This window comes from Homo sapiens, chromosome 6 (assembly GCF_000001405.40).
Source record: "Homo sapiens chromosome 6, GRCh38.p14 Primary Assembly".
NCBI lineage: Eukaryota > Metazoa > Chordata > Mammalia > Primates > Hominidae > Homo > Homo sapiens.
The window spans coordinates 83,589,340-83,609,667 of record NC_000006.12 but is presented as its reverse complement, the minus strand read 5'-3'; the positions used below and the strand labels follow the sequence as shown (position 1 = coordinate 83,609,667).

Genomic DNA, 20,328 nt, shown 5'->3' with positions numbered 1-20,328 from the left:
AAGAGTATTTACTTCTATAGGTCTGTAGTTCACATTTACCATTGTATTCTTCAGACAAAAATGTAATAGATGTGTTTTTTCCTCTTTGACAAATTTCCATTATATAATTGCTGTCATTACAGATATTCAAGGATATCATTATGGCTGCACTGGTGATTTCCAGACACCATGTACTATGCCAGTGATGGGTTGGCTGGCTGCCTAAGATCCCCTCAGGGACCTTGAACAATCAGTCAGATAAAACAAACAAGTGAAAAGCTCCATTTATTCTGATATAAGGCCAGGTTTAAAACCATTATGTCTATGTGAAAAACTCCAATATATGACTGCTGAGTAGAGTGTCGTAAAATTGTGGCATCCTTTGGGTTGGTCTGTTTCTACATTTTGGCCAAATTGAATTTTTTTTTTTCTTTTTCGGCCAAATTGAATTTTACTGACTTTTTCTTTTTGTAATAACAGATTATTTGGGTTCTGTTTTCCTAGCTCTTACATCTCCTCAGAGCTTGTTGTTACAAGGCATTTTTTAATGGGCTTCTGTAGAGTTTCATTTTTTGCATTTATGTTGATAATATTTATTGCTGTCAATAAGTTCTCAGTGTTTCATCAATATCATTTTTTCTAAACTTATTTACATGCATTGGCTTTTAAAAACCTTTTCTTAGAGGATTTCTCAGTGTTCCCAATGGATGACATACAATTAGCTTTAACTAGTCCTTTCTCTTCCATTGATCATGTTTTGTATTCCATTTGGAAGATTTGAATTTTTGTTGAAGAGAGAGTTCTGAGTTGATATTTTCTGATTAACAACATCCACACTGCTCATGTGTCCACCTTTCTTGAAGTGCTAAATGCTTGGCACTTGCATAACTATTGAATTTTGACTTTTGGATTAGTATATTCTTGGACAAACATAATATTTAAGTCTGTAAATTTCTGTAAATTTCTGATCTCCTCAGTTTTTTTTTTCCTCAAATTATTCTTTTTAAAACTTCCTTTATGTTTGGTCTCTTTGAAGTCAGATGCCCAGTTAGGGGAGTATCTGATAGCCCTGGCTTGGTCTTGGTCTTCATGAATCTTCCTGCTGTTATGTCTCATCTCCACTAACAGAACTAAGTATCAATACATTGTTTTGAAATGTTCCATTAATCTTTCTCTTGTGAATGAATGGAGAATTAAATATACCAGACAAAATTGTTTAGTTACAGTAACTAAATAAAAATCTTGTAATATATTAATTGACTATTAATACCTCTTCTTGAAAAATAAATACTAGATTTTATTTTTACCTTTTTAGTTTTATCTATGTCATCTTAGTGATGGGCTATAGTCATGATATCTTCAAAACATCAGTGACTTGAATCTTGCTTGTGAATCGTTCTCTTCCAACTGTGAACTATTTTGCAAGTTAGATTTCTGGATTTGAAGGTCATCTGAGAGGACCTCACATGAAATCTTTTTAGGATGACAAGAAAAAATAATGACATTGGTTTTTTTAGCAATTATTACAATTGATAATTTTTGAAATTTTTTGCAGCTAGTAAGATCTTTCCTAATAATTTTATGTTCAGGAAATACATTTAGCTTTTATTTTAATTAATGAATGGAAGTCATTGCAATGTTAAGCCAAATATTTTATCATTTTATATAAATTACATTTAAAATTTGTAACATGTTTTAGCCAATATTGATTATTTATTACAATCCTTGATTTCAAATTTTATTGAGTTTTTTTTTCCTCCACAAAGAATTACAAAAAAAAAATTGCTGGGCATGTCATGGTTATACAAAGAAAAGTCCTGCTGCCCTGTGTCCTGTAGATTCATATTTGACTCAAGTGTGTTGTGCATCTTCACTTTCAGTCTTCTCCAGCCACAACTGTTACGTCTCCTAATTCTACACCAGCTAAAACTATTGACACATCCCCACCGGTTGATTTATTTGCAACTGCATCTGCGGCTGTCCCAGTCAGGTTGGTAAATAAATATGCAGTTAACTGTTTATTAATATTTTATTAGAGTTTGGTTTTATTTTTATGTGCTGTACCCAAATGATTTCACCAAAGGAAATCTAATCCTAGTAATGTTGAAGTTTTTACTACACAAAGTACATTGTTTTACTCCTGTGCCTCTTAAATCATTAGAAAGACCTAAGCTATAGAAATCACCTTGTTGTCACAAACTGAGAAAGGAAATGGAAGAATGATACACACAATTTATTCTGAAATTGGCTGATATGGAAAGTGTTTTCTAAAATTAGTTTCTTCTTGTGGGAGATTCAAAAGGTATTTTAAAATGCTTTAAAACACACACACACACACACACACACACACACACACACAACCCAACTTGGAATTGTTTGACCAATTAGCTAGTGCGTATGAGGAACTCACACTCTGGTGGTAGGAGGAGGCCTTTGGGGTATTCCTAATCAGTTTTTATAGAACCTACAGATCAGAACAGTAGTGAGAAATCTGGGGATGACTGTGCGTTCTTTGAAATCTCTAGCCTCCTAAAATCAATCCCCAGCTCATAGGTGTGTCCTCAAATAATAAATTTAGGTCAATTCCTTAGTTCATTTGCCTTAAGAGGATTCTAATATCATTTTGTAGTATCTTTGACTCTGATTATGAATGCCCTATGTTTGGAGACTTGAACTTTGAACTGAGCAAGAAATCCAAGTATTGTACCCATGTTAACTGTGTGCTTTACTCTCTACTTGCTTAGTTCTGCATTTTATAATAGCAAATTTGGCATAACCAACTCCTTTCTATTACTGTTCTAATTAAATTGCTTCTTACAAAAGCTTTAAGATATTAATAATAAATATGTATTCCTTTCCTGGTATTTAGTCCAGTTGTATTTATGAAATGGACATCAAAACTAGCAATGGTTTCAGTGGTTTTGAAACTTTTTTTAAAAAGCAGCAGAATCCTTTCTTCAAAAGAATATTACTTGGAAATCTAATATGTAAAAAAAGATAAAGATGAAACTGCTGTTTATGAAGGCAGGTGGGGAACCTGGGACCCTGATGGCTTGGCACCTGGCCTGGTAACTTTTAAGCCAGTGCTCCTCAAATCTGAAGGTACATGTGAATTGCTTTGGCATCTTATTAAAATGAAGATTCTGAGGTGGTAGATACAGGGTATGCCTGAGATTTTGCATTTATAAAAACATCCCAGGATGCTGCTAGTTTGAGGCCTATACTTTGAATAGTAAGGCTGCTCCTTGGAGATTCTACAGACAGAGAAGCTTTGAAAAGCACAGCCTCAACTGAGTAAAAATAAAAAATGCAGTAGTCGTTTTAGGTAAGTCCTCTTACAGGCAAACTTGATATATTATAGTCTAACGTAGGAAAAAGATAAATTAGTGGTTAATAATTCCCTTTAGTGTTCTTTGGTTTATAAATAAATTCTTCTCAAGACATGAATTTTTTTTCTATACAAAAGATTTTAGGAAATAGAGAAAAGATAACCTCAAGGTTATGATTTTGATTTCCCTGTAGAATGCTGCACATAGATCAACTCCAGCCCACTCTCTGTTTTTGTAAATAAAGTTTTATTTGAACAAAGACATGTTGATTTGTTTGTGTATTGTCTATGTCTTAATTTCATTCTACATTAGCAGAGTCAAGTAATGATAGAGACCAACTGGCCCTCAAAGTCTAAAATACTTACCATCTTGCCCTTGACAAAAGTAGTTTGCCAACTCTTGGTATATGCTATAGCTCTATACTTTCCAAAGTATTATTCTTTTATTGGATTTAAAATACCTAAAATCTTTGATGATTTCTGCATGTCTTTATTCAAAAACACCTTTATGTTATAAAATTTCAAAATCTGATTTTAATGTTTTATTTTCCTTTCAGCACTTCTAAACCATCTAGTGATCTCCTGGACCTCCAGCCAGACTTTTCCTCTGGAGGGGCAGCAGCAGCCGCAGCACCAGCACCACCACCACCTGCTGGAGGAGCCACTGCATGGGGAGGTGAGTAAAACCAGACAACCTTGCCATTTCTCTATTCATTTTATTTCATTGTTTTTACTTAGGCTATAATTGTTAACATTTACCTTTTGATTATCTAAAATGGTATTAGAAACTTGGAGGGAAAATGTTAAGAATGGCATTTATTGATTGAAATATATATTGAGAGAGAGAGACAGAGAAAGTGCCTGTAATACAGTGAGAATGTTCAAATAGTCATATAGTTTTTATTTTAACAGTTGGAACAAGGAAGTTTTGTGGGTTTTTTGTTGTTCTTTTTTATTACTACTCTAAAATTCTGATTATTTTTAGTAATTGTTCTCTAGAGACTCAGGCCTTGAGGATTGAGTATTCCCCTTAATTTATGGTTACTCAAAGGTAACATTTCCAATTTGGTTTGGTCAGGTGTAGCCTCGTTCCTGGATTCTTTTAGGCCTGAATTGATTTTATTCACATTGTATTTGACTTCATACAGTTGAAATCTTTTTACAGATTCTTATTTGTACCAGAAAAATCCATACTTTAAACTGATTGACTGAGAGGAATCACATCTAAGCACTTGATTCCCACTTTATTTATGGATCTCAGGAAAAAAATCAGCCTTTTATAAATATTTGATTTAAAACATTTAATATTAATATAAAAATTAAAGTAATTGCTTCATAATGCTCAAAGCTGCAAAGAGTTGGTTTTAAATACCATGCCTTCCTGTACCAAACTATCAGAATAAAATTTTCAAAAAGTTTAAGACATGCCTTGTACAACTATAGGAGCAACAGAAATAAAAGACTTAGTAACTCACTAATGAGGAAACCAGCAAGATGATAAAGCTGTCTCAAAGAACATTTTGAGGAACTGAGTATTTATAGGTATTTTAAAAGGAATGTTAGAATAAGATGGCTAGGTTAGATAGAAAGCTGTTAATGACCTATAGGGTAATAAAAATCATAGCCTTGAGGTTATCTTTTCTCCCATACAGAGATTATTTGCATCACTAGCAGACAAGATCTGTAACAACATAACATTGGAGAATCAGAGCCTTTAGTGCACAATAATAACTAAGTCAAATGAAGTTATATTTCTCTAAATAATTGAATGTCCTTTGGTGGTCTTGTTAAACAGTGTGTCAGTATAACATCAAAAGTCCTATCTGTAATCTCTTGATCTCATTTCCAAGTTATTTTGGTAACAAAAATAAGAGAAAGATAACCAGTTCTGAAATAATGTTGCTAACTATAAATAAGAACATTTAAAATGTTGGCACGTTTCCATTTTAAATATGTAAACCTTATCCTATATTGAAATGTTCAACTCCTAAGGCTACAGCTATCAATTTTTAAAATAAAATTGTTCTCTCAGCTTTATTTAACTTTATTAAATTTCTATTGGTAAAGGAAAATATTGCTAAAGAGATTTTATAAGGGCATTCTTTTTTACTCATGTTTTTATTCTGAGCTTCATCACTGATTATTTTAATTTGCTAATAATTTATTTTCATTACCATATTGTCTTTGTTAGAACTTTAATGAATAAACAGTGAAACTGTAAACTAGTCCCTTTTCCATATTCCCTGGCATGAAACTGAAGATAAATTTTATCTTTTTTTAAAAAATTTTGGCACTAAAAGAATGCCAAATAAAAGGAAAAAATAAAAGGTGAAATTTTGTTGAATTGCAATATAACATTTTTATTCATTTTCATCTCTAAATACTTTTTGCTAAGACACATAATATTGTAAGGAATTGATTGTAATAACCAATTTTATTAGAATACATTTTAGCCTTTAAAGTTAGAAATATGTAACTATTGATGATTGAAACATTAACATACCATTGGACATAAAAAGACAAAGCAGAGCAGTATGGTTTTAGCCAGGGCTGTACTATACAGACAATGTAGATCATGCATTGCTCAAAGGCAGGGCAAGGGGGCTGAAATCCAGCCAGAACTCTATAGTCACGCTGTGAGCCTTTCTCATTATCCTTGAGAAAGAGATGCTTTACTTTTTCTAATCTGTCTCACTACAGGGAGTACCTTTTTTTTTTCTTCTTTTTAAGATATTATAGCTTTTATTTTAGAATATAGCTTTTATTTTATTTTCAAATTTTAGCCATAAGACAGTAAAACGAACTCACTGATTTACCAAAGACAGTTGGATTAAAAAAACTGAGTGCAGTGGCTCATGCATGTAGCTTCTGAGGAGGCTGAGATGAGAATCTCACTTAAGCCCAGTAGTTAAGAGTCCAGCCTGAGCAACATAGTGAGATCCTTTCTCAAAAATAAAGAAAAAAAAATCACAAAAAGGCAGTTGGATCCAAATTATATTTCTGACAAAATGGGGCTTGTTCACATGGCTAAACATCAGTTGTCCCAATAGGTAAGCTAATGGGCCAAAATTTGGGGTAAAGCAGTTTCCATAGTAGTTTGATTTTAAAAGCATATTTTTATGCTTTTTTCAGTTATTTTAAATGACTATAAGGTTAAAGTTTTTTTGATAAACACATAAGATTAATTTTACAATAAAAACTAAGATAGCTCTCAAGTTACAATGAAAGCTAATATTGATTGAGTGCTCCTGTGACAAGTACTATGCTGGTCATCACTACACTTACCCAAGAAAGGTACTATCTTTAACCTGTTTAAAATGATAAATATGTGAAAACCATGTAAACTTTCTTATTTCTTTCTTTTTTAACTTTAAGTTCTGGGATACACATGCAGAATGTTTGTTACATAGGTATACATGTGCCATGGTGGTTTGCTGCACCTATCAACCAGTTATCTAGGTTTTAAGCCCCGCATGCATTATGCATTTGTCCTAATGCTGTCCTTCTCCTTGCCCCAGGGAGTACGTTTTTATAATTAGTACAAAGGCACCTTATAGGGCCTGATGTTCACCTTTTGATGATTAGACAGCACTTTTGCCGCAACAAAACATCTACAACTGCAACATTTCATAGCAATAGAAAAGTCAGCTTTGGGGGGAAATGCTAATAAAGAAATTCTCTAATTTCTAAGCAAAATAGTAAAAATTATAAGACTTTAAGAAATTGAAATAAACTTCTACAATTTGCCCGGTGGATACCCAGTCATGGTTGAAGGTGATGCTAAATTGTAACAGATATGTGTTTGTTTATTTGACTAAGCAAAAAAATAAAATTGTTTTCTCAATCTTGTTTGATAAGATCAAGCCACTTCTATTATTGAAGCATATTTGAATTCTGTATAACTAGGCAGTAAATTATAAACTGTAAAACTCTGTAAGCCTAATTGGATGGTCTCATTTCCAAGGACCATAGCCACTTCAAATGTCTCTAAATTTTTCTTGGGGGTTATAGGTACCAACACACATTTTTATTTCAGGGGACACATTGTAATGATAGCATTTTTTTTCCTGTTGGTGTAAAGCAACCAAATTTTAGCAAATTTATTTTAGTAAATTTAATTTAAATTGTGCATGTAAGATTTGGCATTTCTACAGGCTGGTGATGAACCCAATCGGCTGAAAGAATACAGAGGATTTTTTAAATCCTCATCTTTGGCTCCCTAATAGAGTGTTTTTTATTTTCTTCATAGTAAATTCATGTTGCAGAAGCACAAATAAGTGTGTGTTGTGTGTCTGTATATTTTAGACATGGGAAAACAGTTTCTTTTTATACATGCTTAAAGTGAAATTTCTACTTTTTTTGAGAAACATGGGATTACTGCCAGAATTTATTAGAATTAAAATTATCTACCAACATGTATTTGAAAGCTAATCAATATTATGTGATCATATGACTCTGATATCTTCATGTATAAGGTTAGCTACAGCACAAGTAGTTTTGTGACCCATTTGCTTGTTAATAAAATCTGAAGTACATGTCTAAAGGTGAAACTTGGTCTAGAGGATCTCTAGGTCCCTTCTAGCTTAAAAGTTCCATGATAATAGGTAGTACATTTATTTTTTAATTGCAAATGGTGTAGAAGACACATAAAGCTAAGGTTTTTTTAGTTAGTGCCTTATCTGGCTTGGACATTGGTATGGTTGCATGTTTCAACTTTAGCTCTTATTTATTCTTATGCTGCCATGTAATGGACATCGGTAGACCTTTTGGGAGAGGGTGAGTAAAGCTTTGTTTTTAAACTTCCATTTTGACAGACTTCTGTATGTAACAACTGTCCTTATTTTGATCATTTGGAGTCTGGTATATCTTTTGTCCTTTGCTTTTCTTCTCTCCGTTTGCTCTCTGTCTCTGGTGAAATATAGATTCTTTGGCTGCACTTTCCTCTGTTCCCTCTGAAGCACAGATTTCAGATCCATTTGCACCAGAACCTACCCCTCCTACTACAACTGCTGAAATTGCAACTGCCTCAGCTTCTGCCTCCACTACTACAACTGTTACTGCTGTCACTGCTGAAGTGGATCTCTTTGGAGGTTAGTTAGTCTCGCTGCTACTTTCATTTTTTCAGGATTGCTAAAATTACTTGGGAGTTAAGGTCTTTAAAATTTTTTCCGTTATGTAACAGCATGTCAGAGTGTTTAAGTACTTTTTCAATGTTTATTCATGTATATTTATCTTCACTAAATTCATCAACTTTCTCTTCACTTAATTTTAGTAATTTTATAGCAGAGATTGCAATGCATCAGGCCCATTTGATTTTCACGTTTTTTAACATTAGAATTCATGTTGCTACCTTCAGAACTCCTGCCTTTAGGTTCCTGCTCTCCAGTGTCTGTATAAAAGTGGTACCAGAGCTCTCTGTCACCTTTAGGTTTATTTAGCTTTTCGGCCAGATTAGAACTAGCCCAGAGAATATTTGGGGAATGTAGGAGGAGCAACACAGGCCTAAGTTGTTTCTTAATGTTTAGGGCAAAAAATAATCTAAGAGTAATTCAGGTTTGGAAGCCTTTGAAGAGAGTTAAGGGATGTGCCTGTTTTTACAGCTTTAAGTTTGTTCTGTCCAAATAAAAACTTGGATCATCTTTGGTTTTGGAACTCTGAGAAAACATCTGAAGCAGCACTTGAAAGGCTGATTGAAAACAGATTTAAGTCAGTCTTTGAAATGATTGTCTAAAAATATGCTTTCCATGGAAATGTAAATTCTGACCCACTATAATATGCCTGGACCTGATGAGCCATGTGAAGCCAGTTTATTCATATATGTATCCCCATCTGTGTGGTACCAATGTCCACACCTAAAGAAGTTCTCATATCAAACACATACGTCAAGTGATGTTATAGTCATTATAGTTTTGTGTATCTTCATTACCATATAACATCTTTCCTAGGGCATTTTGAGAATATGGTAAAGAAATTGGAGGAAGAAAATGGTGAAAGCAAGAGAGATTTGGCAGGCTTTGGTGTAATCAATATGTACCCCTGGGAACATACATTTAACACACTGTCACCTACCACTCTGCTACATGCCATGCTCCAGTCTCTAAGGTTGGCCAACATCATCCAAGACAAGGAGCACTCCACTAGACACAGCTTTGTTGCCACTGCTGCACAAAAGACATTTTCTGCTGCCTTGCTGTCCATTCCTATGGAACAGGAGAAACCTGTTTGTAAAAGAGTAGGAGAAAAAGGATTGCAGACCCTTGAATAAAGAGTCACCCATGGTCTGGCGCAGTGGCTCACATCTGTAATACTAGTACTTTGGGAGGCCAAGATGGAGAATTGCTTGAGCTCAGGAGTTTGAGACCAGCCTGGGCAATATAGTGAGACCTTGTCTCTGCAAAATAATTAAAAGCTAGCCAGTTGTGGTGGCAAGCACCTGTAGTCCAAGCTACTTGGGAGGCTGAGGCAGGAGGATTGCTTGAGCCCAGGAAGTGGAGGTTACAGTGAGCCTGATCACGCCACTGCACTTTAGCCTAGGTGAAGAGCAAGGCCCTGTCTCAAAAATAAAATTAAATTAAAAAGAGCCACCCACTATAGAGGGTTAGGTTTTCATTTATGCCCCTATATCCTTTGAAACCAAAAATTTAAATTTTAGCTTACATTTATAAAATCAACTTCCTCTTCCTTCCACAAATCTAAATCAGGTGGTAAATAGAGTTTGTCAAAGTTGTTTAGGCCTGACTAAAGGTAAGCCTCTTGACCTCCTTTGGCCTCAGTTCTCCCATCTATACAATTGGAAACTTGGTCTAGAAGATCTCTAAAGTCCTTCTAGCTTGAAAGTTCCATAATAATAATAGGTAATACACTTAGTAAATGTTTTAATTTAAAATCTATCCTTCCCCCACCCTCTGTTATTGATGTAGCTATGGGTAGTTTCTCATAGGCTTGTGTTAACAGAAAAAAAGTAAGGAAAATATGGACAGGATGCATAATAATTTTGTGCTGAAACATTTCTACGCCTTAGCTGTTTAGATTTTTTGTTTCCAGTCCACTTATAAGGAGTTGATTACCTCAAAGAAATCAATCAACTCTATCTTACTTCCTGCATAGCCCTCTAGAATAATAAAGACTAAGATATTTCTTTGAAATATTCTTCATGCCATTATGCTGTTTTTGTTTGTCATTTATTTCTGTTTTGACTATATTCATCAAGTGGAAAAATCTGTATGTTTAGAAAATTTTCATGATGGCATTCTTTGTAGCTTTAAATATAAGCTTAAAGGATGAGTACTGCAGAGAATCATGCAACTTAATGTCAAAGAATGAGACTGTTCTTGTGATTTTATCAATATCCTTTCCAGTCATCTGGCTGAGAAATGAGTGTACAATGACAATTACATCTGAAAATCACATCATAATTATTTTATTGATCTGTTTAGTTCTATAAATTGTCTCCTGGCTTCTGATAGCTATACAATTTCCATCCTTTATGTTCAGGAGTCTATATATGTCATTATCTGTTTTGTGATTTTCAGTGATTTTCTGTAATTTCTTTCATGCCTTCATTGGTTTTTAAGAAATTATTCAGAGATTTAATTTTTAATAAAAACCTAAGCTAAAATCTCTTTGGCCATTTTGTGTGGCCATTTTTTAAATATTTTGTCTCTCTACAATGGGTAAGTGGTAGAACTCTAGAATAATCAGAAAACCAGTTATGTTTTGTTTAACACAGCATAACTTTACAACTTTAAAACATGCCTTTTTGAGGTCCTATGCAATATGTACAGCAACTAAGTAGATTTCTTTAGAAATAAAGCTTAATGGATTTTAATTTCAGAAGGATGGCTATTTAATTTCATCCCTATCAAATATTAAAACTGTTAATGTATTTTAGTACTATATTTAAATTACACATTTTAAAAATAGTAAATTTTTGTGATTTTTAACAGAAATATTCTTATTGATACACAAGTAATGTTTTAGTCCTTTCAATGTAGGTAGTTCATGTAAGTCATTAAAAAATTTTTGTCAGCTACATTTATTAAATGCTTCATTTTTTAAAGTGAACTTTTAAGAAATGAGATCTTCTTTTTATGATCATGCAGAACAGGATTGCAAGGGCAGTGTTACGCCTTTAAAATTTAGTAAAATTTATAAATATTGACAAAAATAAAAGGCAAAATCCTTAAAAATAACCTATTTTTATACTGATGCAAATTTTACTGACAATAGCACATTGATTTGAACAACACAGGGTTTTTCTAAATACTAGAATGCTAAATTGATGCTAATTCCTCTGCACACCAACAAGGATACCCTTTCAATCAAATGTGTCAATTTGTGAGCAAACCTTCATAAGGTTAGTAGTCTGCAAACATTAAACCAAAGTGACTGGAAAACCAAAGAACTTACCTCACAAGCCTGATCACATTGGGTACATGTTGGTCAAAAAACTAAGTTAACCAACCTTCCTTAAAACCAATAATTAAACACTTTCAACTAGATTTCATGTTAGAGCCTTATAACCTGGGACCTTTGGAGACAAAGAGGAACCAGAATGTGACATTTGGGCTGTTGAGAACAATTGGAACCTTTGTGCTGAGTGTGTGATTTAAGATGGCTTATGTGGCCAAAGTAGATGGGGAGAGAGAATAGGTCAGGCTGAGGGAAACAACAGCTCTTAGATTTGAGAGAGGTAGTCATATGATAAAAAGTTTGAGAGGAAAATTCTGTCTTAGAGTGCTGGAAGGGGAAAAAAGACTAGTCTGCAGCAGTCAGCTCAGTTTATGGATTAAGGCCTAGACTGAGTCCATAATTGAAGAACAGCAGGAGCACGCATTTCTAGGAAATAGAGCTGGTTGAAAAACTGACAGAATGTAGAAATTAACTGCAAATGGGTAACATGAAAAGGAGAGCTGAACTGGAAATAACTTTAGTTTGCAATACTGGAAAGATAATGCTGCCATTTATAATGAAAAAAACTAGATATTTAAAAAAGTTTTGTTTATTTTTTAACAAATTCAAATTTTATCTCTCACAGTTCTGGTGGCTGACTGAGCTCAGCTGGGCAGTTCTCACTCAAGGTCTCTTTTGTGGCTGCAGTCAGACAGTGATTGGGCCTGGTACCATCTGGACACTCATTCATGTCTCCTTCGGGGCTAGGAAGATTCAAACAGCTGGGGGTGGGAGCAGCTGCAGCTCCTACCTTTAAGAAAATTTCTGACAGGTGTAGATGAGTTAAGTTGATAATATTTAGTTTCAAGTAACAAGAGAAGAATTAAAAGGAGATATCTTGCTGACAAGGGGATTTTTTAAAACCCTCTTCTAAGGATGTAGCTATAACAATATGGGCTTTATCTCCTTACACATAAGTGATAACCTAAAGGGGTCAGCCCATAAATATCTATTTGATCCCTGGCACTAATGTAACTGATGTTTATTCAATTATAAAGAAGGGAGTAATATAATAGAATGAGGCATATTTCATAAAAAATGCAGTACAGTGGCTAAACACATAAAGCTCAGACAGCTCTGAGCCAAATCCTAACTCTGCCATTTTCTTGCTGTGTAACTTTAGTCATCAGACTTTTTAAAAAAAAAATCTTTAATTGAAAAAGTATATACATATATATATAATGTACAACATGATGTTTTGAAGTGTGTATACATTGTGGAATGGCTAATTGAGCTAATCAACATAGATGCATTACCTCACTTATTGTTTGTGATGAGAACACACACGCTTTAAGCTTTGGTTGTGTTATCTACAGACTGGAGACAGTAGAACCTAAATCACAAGATTGTTACAGATAAATTTAATAATGGCAATATATATGACTGCTATGTGTTTCTACTCTTTGCAATATTATTGGCCTCAGTTCCAAATTTTATAGGAACCAAAAAAAAATAAAACAACTGACCTGACTCATGGCAAAATATTTACAGCCCTCCCAACATCTTTTCATACTTCTCTTACATTCTTCTGCCCTGCTTGTAGAGGGTGTGTTGCTCTAAGTCCTGAAGTATAGTATCTTTAACATGGCATTTAGAAAGTAGGCCTACTCTATCCCTTGATGTATTCTTCATTCTTTAGTTTTATTTATTTGGCCTCTCAGCTGACCTGACACTCAAAACCTATATTCCTGGCTGGGCATAGTGCTGTAGGCCTGTAATCCCAGTCCGTGAGGAGGCTGAGGCCAGAGGCTCACTTGAGACCAGTAGTTCAAAGCTATAGTGAGCTATGATATTGCCACTGCACTCCAGCCTGGGCAACAGAGCAAGACTCTGTCTCTAATAATAAATAAATTGAACATATATTTCCTCAGTATAACAAAGAGGAACAATCAGATCAGATTAATCCATAAGATATGAATAACTGATGTCCTGTTGTCCCTTCTAAGGGATATTTGTGATTTGGTAAAGGGCCTTTTAACCCAAGTAAGTATCTAGTTTAATGTTTGTTATTCCACATAAAACTAGAACTCTGCATTACTAAAGAGTGTTTCATACTCAGTTTGGGACATGCCAGGTCAAACTGAGAAACAAGTATCTTGACAGTAGCATGTCCTAGAGCCTAATATACTAAGTAAATCACCAAGGAAGAGCATGTACTGTGTAGCCCTTCCCAAGTATATATGACATGTTATTTTCATGACTGAAGGAACAGTGTTCCAGGAAACATGAGTAGATATTGCGGAAGACAGTATTTGGGGATGGAAAGTCTAGCAGGTAAGTGACAGGTTCTAGGTGGGTGCTGGTCTCCACTCTCCAGGGTTTTCTTCTCCTAAGCCTGTCATGTTTATCATGGCTTGATTCCTTCTGTACTTTTGAAACTATAGCATCTCTATGCAAGCTCAAAGACTTCTTACCTTAACTAACATTGTTGGTAGAAACACACTGGGAAGCATCTGTACACATCAGCCATTTGTAAAATGGGCATTTATAAACTGTGGCTGCTCGTATGTTAATGATATTCTATAAATAATAATACACTTATAGTCTTAAAATGTGAAAATATTGTTTTAACCTGTTGAAAATAGATTATTTTCCAAATAACTAGAAAAATATAATTGCATTATGGTATCATACCCTATTTTTATCTCTTTATGTCTTTAAAATAACTTATTGGTTATGTTTGAAAATGCTTTTCAAGGATAGTGAAGACTTAACACTTAGGAATGCTTAGTAAACTTAGTAAGAGTGTTTCATACTCTCATACTTAGTAAACCTTAGTAAACTTAACACTTAGGAATGCTTAGTAAACCTTAGTAAAATTATTGGTTATGTTTGAAAATGCTTTTCAGGGATAGTGAAGACTTAACACTTAGGAATGCTTAGTAAACCTTTCATGTTAACACTGTAATTTTGCCTGTACTAGATTATAAAAAATCTTAAAACTAGAATTATTTACATTGCCATTGTATATTTAATTTTATTGGCATTAAAGAAGATATTATGTTTGCTAGAAACTATGAGACAGGGACATTTTAATAACAGTGAATCAGTGTTACCTGGACATGAAAGTTTAATGTCTTAAATTACATAATAAAAATATTTTTTGTTTTAATTTTTACATCCATTAATTTCTAATGATACATAAAACATGCTTCTCAGAGCCCTTATACAATGAGAATCTCATTACCTTTTGGATCCTATTAGGCCTCAGCAGTATCAACATTGTATCACTTGCATGTTAACTAACATGAAGGTGTGCAAAGAATAATTGTTTTGTGACCACCGACAGCGCATGGGCCATAAAAATGCATTTTTAAAAATTCATGTTGTATAAGGGAGCCTTCTTCACAATTTAACTTGGTTCTTTTACTGTATTTTCTTCTCTTTTTATTCTTTTAATTTCTGCTGTTTTAAAAACCGCACCCAAGATGCCTTTGCAGCTTCTCCTGGGGAGGCCCCTGCAGCATCCGAAGGGGCCGCCGCACCAGCTACCCCAACCCCTGTAGCAGCAGCACTTGATGCATGTTCAGGAAATGGTGGGTTTAAAGTCATTAGCCAGTCTGTTATTCTTCTGTCCTAATGTAAAACCCCCGTAGTTAGAAGAGGCCATATGTTTTTCTAATTTTACTTTCTTCTGAGTGTAAAGTATCATTCATCATAACTAAATAAATAATGCCAGCATTTAAAACATTAAGACAATGAAGTACATACTTATCAAAATTGACAATTTCTTAAGATTGACAATTTTTGTCAGTGCAAGTATGCTGTCTTAATGTTTTTTTTTCTAATGCTATATTGTACTCTTTTGTAACATTGAGTTCAAATATATTGGCATGTTTTAATGAATTTTCAAAGCTACCAGATTGACCAAATAAAGTGAAGATTTGAAGGATAGCAATCTCTGATCCTAGACTGTAGGTTAATCTTACGGCACTTTGCAAAATGCTTTAGTTTGCTAACTTGTGGTACCTACTAAGTTTTCCTTTTTCTTTAGAAAAACATCCTAATCACTAACCCCTGCCAGTAGGATAGTAGTTAAATCCAAGGAGCCTCACACCTAGCTAGTGTGTAAATATCTGTATAAGGTGTCTCTTGCCATAGTTATGATGCTGTCTCTTGTCTCTTTCCTTACTGATGCTGTGTGTGTCTCCACTTTCCTTTCCAAAAGACCCCTTTGCCCCGTCTGAAGGTAGTGCAGAGGCTGCACCTGAGCTGGACCTCTTTGCAATGAAGCCACCTGAGACCAGTGTTCCTGTAGTTACCCCTACAGCTAGCACAGCCCCTCCAGTTCCCGCAACTGCTCCTTCTCCTGCTCCTGCCGTTGCAGCTGCTGCTGCTGCCACTACTGCTGCCACCGCCGCTGCCACCACCACTACCACCACCTCCGCTGCCACCGCCACCACTGCTCCTCCTGCTCTAGATATCTTTGGTGGTAATTTTTTGTTATTGTTGTCGACCTCTTTCCGTCTAGTGGATTGAATTCTGATCCTTGAGATGTACTGCATGAAGACTGTGTAATTAAATGGTTCTCTAGAAACCATTTGCTGCTTAATTCAGAGTTCTTCAAAGTGCTAATTAAGGACTGGGAAGTGATGCTGTGTCAGGCTTATTGTTCAAGTTGAGTAAAGGCATGTGTGTTCTTGGTCTTAGATTTATTTGAGTCCACTCCTGAAGTTGCTGCAGCGCCTAAGCCAGATGCTGCTCCTAGCATAGACCTGTTTAGTACAGGTAAAACCAAAGCAACCCTTTTTTTTCACTTTAGTTTCTTAGATGTTTTCCTGATTAAGCTCTTTGTACTCACCTGTGATAATGCATTTGTTAGATTTTTGACTTTGATTTCAGCTTTCTACTACTTACCTCTGCTTGGTTTTGGTTTGTTTCACTTTTGGAAGATGCTTTCTCCTCTCCACCACAAGGGGCCTCTCCTGTGCCTGAGAGTTCTCTCACTGCTGACCTCTTATCTGGTGAGTGCTTTGCCAAGGTCAGGACTTCAGAGATGTCTTGTGGAAGTAATGCATAGAGAGAAGGATATAACATGTGGGTTTTTCTTGAGTTCTTTTAAATTTAAAATGTACTTCAAAAGAAAAACTCACTCTTGGGACCATCATCAACCGTTGAGGGTTAATATTTCAAATTTAAGGCTAGTGAAAATTTTTTTCACACTGAAACCTCTGACCTCAAGGAGTCAATTTTATTTTGTTCTGGAGAGCGTGTATTTTAAAACCCGTTTGCTTTTCCTTAACTGTTAAGATTGTCTACAGTCTTTCTGCCTGGAGTGAACCATGAAATCCCAAGATGCCATTTGTCAAGGCTCATGGTTTTCTTTTCCCTTGGGTGACATGCACTTTTTCCTGTCTGTGCTTCACTGCAGTGGATGCATTTGCAGCACCATCTCCTGCAACCACTGCCTCGCCAGCAAAGGTGGATTCTTCAGGTGTCATAGACCTTTTTGGGGGTGCGTATTTCTCCTCCATCAACACTTAAGGAATCTTTTTTTCTTCAGAATAATTTTTAAATCTATTTTATTATATTTCATCATTTTTTCTTTAGGCTATATAAAATTCTGTCTCTTAAATGTAAACTTAAGTTTTTAAGATCATTTTCATTTCTTCGTCATCATCATCTTCATCCTCATCATTTCATCATAACTTTCAGTGCATGACCTAACAAAACACATAATTTTTCACTTGGTGTTTTCAACTTTTTGTTCTTCATCCTAATGTAGAATTACCTGACTGGAATTTCCTTCAACTGTTCTTCCTTGGTGATCCTGATCTGTTGGCTAAATCAACATCTCTAAGTTCTTAAAAGCCAAATAAACATGACCTATTAATAGATAATTTAGAAATGAAAACAAGCCAGTTAAAACTGAAAGCATAAGTCTAGATGTTGTACATTATTCTGTAGGTTTATTTATAATGTTTTGCTATCCTTACAAAGAGTTAGAAGGATTGGAAAATGTGTTGCTGATTTAAATATATTTCCCTCTTCCTTTATGTGTTATCTGAGGGCAGGAAGATGTACTGAATTAGCTCTTGAGCTTAAATACTATCCTTAGAAAGCTTAACCCACATTGAGTACCTCCTGTACATTGAAGCATCATGGACATTCCATGATGCGTACATGAGGAATACAAAGATGTTGCAGTGTCTGACATTTAGGGGCTCAAGACTTGTGTCAGATAAACACTAAACCTTGACATGTAGGTACAAATCATATTGCTGCTCCTTGAATTAAGTTTATTAATTTTTTAAACATTTAATAGAATTCTAAATGGAAAAATTCTGTTTTATTACCTTTAGGTAAAAAGTTTAAAACCTTGCTTCTGTTTTGACAGATGACAAGGTTTAGTCCAAAAATTTTATTCTTAGAAAAAAAAAAGAATTCCCTTAATCTTACAAAGAGGTATTACTTGTTAATATTTTAGAACTCTTTTTGAGAGAATAAACCGGTCAGAGCATAATTCAATTCATGTGATCATTTCACACACCCACAAAAGACAAGCTCACTGTACACTGTCATGTCTCTGCATTTCTCTACATAATACTTAAATTACTTACTGTACTTACTTTTTACACTTTCTTACTTTTCCGCTGCACAATGGATAACGGATAGATGCATTTGGAAGTAGTGCTTCTGAACCCCAACCTGCATCTCAGGCTGCTTCTAGTTCATCAGCATCGGCAGACCTACTAGCTGGTAATTAAATTAAAATGGTATTTTGTAGAAGTTAAATTTGGATATATTTTTATAAGTAACAATTATAAAAATTACATAAATTGCAGGGTGCATGTTTTCTTTTTCTTTCAAGACATAAAATTGAGGGAGGGGACAAGTATTGAAAAACTGACTGTTGGGTACTATGCTTATTACTTGGGTGACAGGATCAATCATACCCCAAACTTCAGCATCTCATAGTACACCCATGTAACAAATCTGTACTTGCCCCCCCAAATCTAAAACAAAATTGAAATTGTTTTTAAAAAATAATTTTAAAAGACATGAAATTGAAAATTCAGTCATTGTACGATAGAAGTTTGATTATTTCTCAGGGTCTTAAAGTTGCAGCTGTATACAAGCCACCTTTGTGGCTTCTTGTATGCTCCAAATCTGCCTTATTTTCAGCCAACATGTTTCCTTTAAATTATTTAAAGGGTAATGTGCTTATGTAACAATTTTTGTCTTGTAATGTCTATGCCCATCTTTTTTTAAAGGAAGTTGTGGGGAAATGTACCATGATGTTTGAAAATAGATTTCGTAATATATGAATCACTCCAAGAGAAACTGTTACAGACTCCTACCATTGGGTCAAAACTGCTATTACATAGACCACTGTTTTTGTTTTTTGTTTTTTTTTTTAACAAGCTGATCATTTTTCTATGTGAAAACTCATGGGGTGATCTCAGCTCAACAGGGTCATAGTGTGAAATAGATTGGTACAGTTTGCCTTGGATTACTGCTTGTGGCCCAAGTAGTATATATAGAATAAAAGGAAACAGTTCAAGGACTCAAAAATAGTAAAAGCCAAGTATTGGTCTTCCTTGGGAGCAAGACAAAGTGTGTGCTTAGTGATAGCCTTGACCTAGAAATTATTATTTTCATAAGCAAAGCATTATGAAAGACCAGTTGCAAGACCACAGTAGTAAGTTTAAGTTCAGATTATTAGTCAAACTCACAAGACATTGTTGGCTTACCTTACTCTGATTTTACTTAGACAGGTACATAACAGGAAGCACAACAGTAGTTTCACAGAGGACTCAGTCACTCAGATGCAGCTTCTGAGGCCCCTCCACAGTCACCACAAGGGTTGAATTTTGGTCCTAAGGTTGACAAGGGGCTGACGAGAGCATGGGTCACATCACCACTGGGAAGCTGCCATGCATGTCTGAAGTCTTGCATCTTAAATACCGTGCTAGTGCTAGCCATGTAGACCTTGATAAAGCATATGAATAGTTCCCTTTTTTAGTGTGGATATAGCCCATAAAATTACAAGTTATACAATAAACAATCCTGGCACCAGGTACAGCAAGCTGAGGAACATTTATTCTTGGATTAGTGGTGAGTAATGGCAGATGCTAAAAGACCCTCATCAGCCTTCAGAGTTGTAGGGAGTTTGAGTTGAGGTCAAATCTTTCCTCAGGAAGCTAAAGCAGGTAGTCGTAGCCCAGCTGTTAACCTTTCCTTCCATCAGTAATTCAGACTGGCTATTTAACAGTCTTTCCCAGGGGCAATAGTTCTCTAGTGTCTTTCCCATCCTTTCCTGACTACTATGATCAAACATAACAGTCTTGCATGCTGAAACCACTCATACCAGTGACTACCACTAGGTATTTTCCTCAGCACTGAAGAACCAGGGCCCCACCATGATATTGCTGAGAACTTATGCTGAGAAGCTAGCATAAGAAATTTTAACTTACTTTTAATTTCCGTAGGGCTTAATTTTGGGGGCTAATTTTTCATACTTCCCTGTTTTGTTATAGAAAAATATTTCTCACCCTTGTTCAAGTATCAAAACATAAGGAAATCATATTCTCACTAAAGAACATCATGGAATATTTGGAAGTTGCAGA

At 34.9% G+C, this 20,328-nt stretch overlaps 1 protein-coding gene across 72 annotated transcripts in view; it reads left to right on the top strand.

Annotated features, from left to right (window-relative positions):
* SNAP91 (synaptosome associated protein 91) overlaps positions 1-20,328 on the top strand; it is a 156,509-nt gene that overhangs the window by 99,726 nt on the left and 36,455 nt on the right. For 34 of the 72 annotated variants that reach the window (NR_164845.1, NM_001376695.1, NM_001376685.1 and 31 more), the window contains 10 exons: positions 1,860-1,969; positions 3,865-3,983; positions 8,069-8,083; positions 8,230-8,397; positions 15,187-15,294; positions 15,927-16,190; positions 16,409-16,486; positions 16,651-16,722; positions 17,130-17,213; positions 18,374-18,457. Coding sequence is in view for 68 of the 72 variants with exons in the window: in NM_001376695.1 (NP_001363624.1) it covers positions 1,860-1,969; positions 3,865-3,983; positions 8,069-8,083; positions 8,230-8,397; positions 15,187-15,294; positions 15,927-16,190; positions 16,409-16,486; positions 16,651-16,722; positions 17,130-17,213; positions 18,374-18,457 (1,102 nt within the window). In the remaining 4 variants the exon portion in view is untranslated. Of the gene's footprint in view, positions 1-122; positions 1,236-1,859; positions 1,970-3,864; positions 3,984-8,068; positions 8,084-8,229; positions 8,398-12,344; positions 14,559-15,186; positions 15,295-15,926; positions 16,191-16,408; positions 16,487-16,600; positions 16,723-17,129; positions 17,214-18,373; positions 18,458-20,328 lie in introns of those variants that run through there. The other 38 variants (NM_001376702.1, NM_001376703.1, NM_001376716.1 and 35 more) reach the window with 16 other exon arrangements.